Raw genomic sequence first — 459 nt, 5'->3', positions numbered from 1 at the left:
AAGGGATTTGTAGCTGAAGCACAGAGGAGAATTGTTTTCAATATAAATTTTTCTGATATAGCAGATATTAAACTGATAAGAATATTATACTTGATCTTAGCCAAAAGGCCAAAAAATGATACAAATGGGAATTTGATGAGAACTTCAAAATGTAGAGAAGTTAAAGTTAGTATAAGAGTAAAAGTCCTTCTTTGGGTACTGCATCTTCCTTATTCCATTAATGGTACTTAGCCTGAATACTCTTCACTGGTCCCTAAATATCACAATCTTTTAGTTTCAAAGTATGTGGGAATTTACCTAAACATTTCATTTTAAAGCAATGTATTTGGTATAGAATGAGAACATTTGAAGTTGAAAAGATTATATAGAATAAAAGCCACAGAAAATGCTAAAATTAATGAAAAACTTTAAGAGAGGTAAGTCTTAAGTTTCATACCTGGGAATATTCCTAAGCAACTT

At 30.1% G+C, this 459-nt stretch overlaps 1 pseudogene; it reads right to left on the bottom strand.

Moving 5' to 3' along the window:
* On the bottom strand, positions 1-120 carry LOC124905308 (uncharacterized; annotated as a pseudogene).
* Positions 121-459: the final 339 nt, after the last annotated feature.

Source organism: Homo sapiens, chromosome Y (genome assembly GCF_000001405.40).
Source record: "Homo sapiens chromosome Y, GRCh38.p14 Primary Assembly".
NCBI lineage: Eukaryota > Metazoa > Chordata > Mammalia > Primates > Hominidae > Homo > Homo sapiens.
Note: the sequence above shows the minus strand (reverse complement) of the source record. Positions and strands in the feature narration are given on the sequence as shown.